This window comes from Homo sapiens, chromosome 1, assembly GCF_000001405.40.
Source record: "Homo sapiens chromosome 1, GRCh38.p14 Primary Assembly".
Lineage (NCBI taxonomy): Eukaryota > Metazoa > Chordata > Mammalia > Primates > Hominidae > Homo > Homo sapiens.
The window spans coordinates 175,274,966-175,277,004 of NC_000001.11; positions in this window are offsets into that span (position 1 = coordinate 175,274,966).

A 2,039-nucleotide genomic window follows, 5' to 3' on the forward strand; every position below is an offset into this window, starting at 1 on the left:
ACTACACTCAGATGCCCCCGTGAAACGTGTTTGAATATCTATTAGTATTTGTTGACACCTTTTCTAGTCGGATTGAGGCTTTTCCTACCTGGTCTGAAAAGGCAATCAAGGTTTCTAAATTCTTATTAAATGAATAATTCCTAGGTGTGGGCTGCCTAAAAGCTTGCAGACTGATAATGGCCCATCTTTAACTGCAACAATAACCCACAACATATCTTCAGCCCTAGGAATTCAGTACTGCCTTCATTCAGCATGGAGGCCACGTCTTCAGAGAAAGTAGAAAGAGCCAATCGAACTCTAAAGAGAACTGTTGCTAAACTCTGCCAGGAAACATCAGAAGCCTGGCTGACTCTATTGCCTATGGCCTTGTTGCGGGTTTGCACTGCCCTTAGAGGAAACCTACACTTCAGCCCTTTTAAAATAATGTTTGAAAGACTTTTCTTAACTACAGACTTCCTAATAGACATAGATACTTTCAAGCTACAAAATAATGTAATCAACTTAGGACAAGTGCAAAAAGCACTCCTTGAATATGGAAATAAAAGACTTCTTTTCTCTCCTTAGGAAGGGAATCTTACTATAACCTAGTGGGGAGACTGGGTCCTATGAAAAACTTGGAAAGAAGTATCCAAAGCAGATCAGCTTTCTCCCAAATGGAAGGGATCCTATGAAGTCCTCCTTAGTACCCCAATTGCAGTTAAACTTCTAGGAATAAATAGCTAAGTCCAGTTATCTTGAATTAAACCTGTCCCTTATGAAGCCCCACAGGCCACTGGAGATGGAGACTGATCCCACTTATTCCTATGAGCCAATCAGTGACCTCTGGCTCCTGTTCAGAAGAAACAAAAAGGATGGATAACATAAAATATGGACTGGCATTCTACTTTTGGGTATAAGTTAGAATCACACGGAGAATAACTTATTTGCTGCGTGGGCACAGACTTTAGCCTCCCTGCATAATCACGCCAAATGTTGGGTATGTGTAAAATTACCACTTTCCTCCACTTCCAGATTGCCCTGGCATATTCAACCAGCCAACCTAAGTTTATGGGGACTTTATTATGATTGGGAAACTGAAAATAATAAACATACACCCTCTTTCCCCATGCACTATAGCTTGTGTGGCCTAAGCCCCTTTCCTCTCATACAGAGAGACAAAAAGGCACTTTTTTTTTTTGTCTAATTAGGAAACAGATAAATTCCATCCCAACTTAGGTTATACTGTACAGGATGGACTTGGGTGGATGACAGGTATCAAGCAAAGTGTCTCTATGTCTTGAAAGGCACAATAACAGTCACCACCAGACAGGGACCCATGACATGGGATGGTTGCCACCTCAACAATGTAATCAGACCCTTCTTTAACAGACCAAATGTGGTTAGGATGGAAACATAATTCACCAAAAATAGGTGCCTACCCTTCTCCTTGGGGATGGTTATGGGCTTGTAGAACTCATGGCTAGCCATACTTACCTTAAAATTGGATTGGAAGGTGTATGTGGGGTTGTTCTTATCTCCTAGGATGTATGCTCACTAAATTGGACTCTCTGCCATCTAACTGGGAAATTGTAAAGGCTCGCCATAGGTGACAAAAACAAGCATCTTGGTGGTTTTACCTGATGGCTGTAGTTTCCCCACAGGCAGCCGTGATTGATATTGAACTCACCAAACTCACACTTGCAGCTTTCAATAATACACACCATGCCCTTACCCTCCTAACTGGGGAAACTTCTCAAATTAGGCAGGCAGCGTTACAAAACTGCATGTGTTTGGACATTTTAACAGCGGCTCAAGGGAGAACTTGTGCTTTGATCAAAACTGAATGTTGTGTATATGTTACAGACTACTCACATACTATTACCCAAGCTATAAAGGCTTTAGACATTCATATTTCTGCCACTGATGTGCCGTTGGTTGACCCCATATTGGCTTGATTCTAGCAATTGTCTGGTTCTTGGAAAGCCTTCTTGTTTAGTTTACCTGGAGTACTTTTACTTATATTGCCTTGCTGTTGTGGAATATAGTGCAGTGGTACTCTT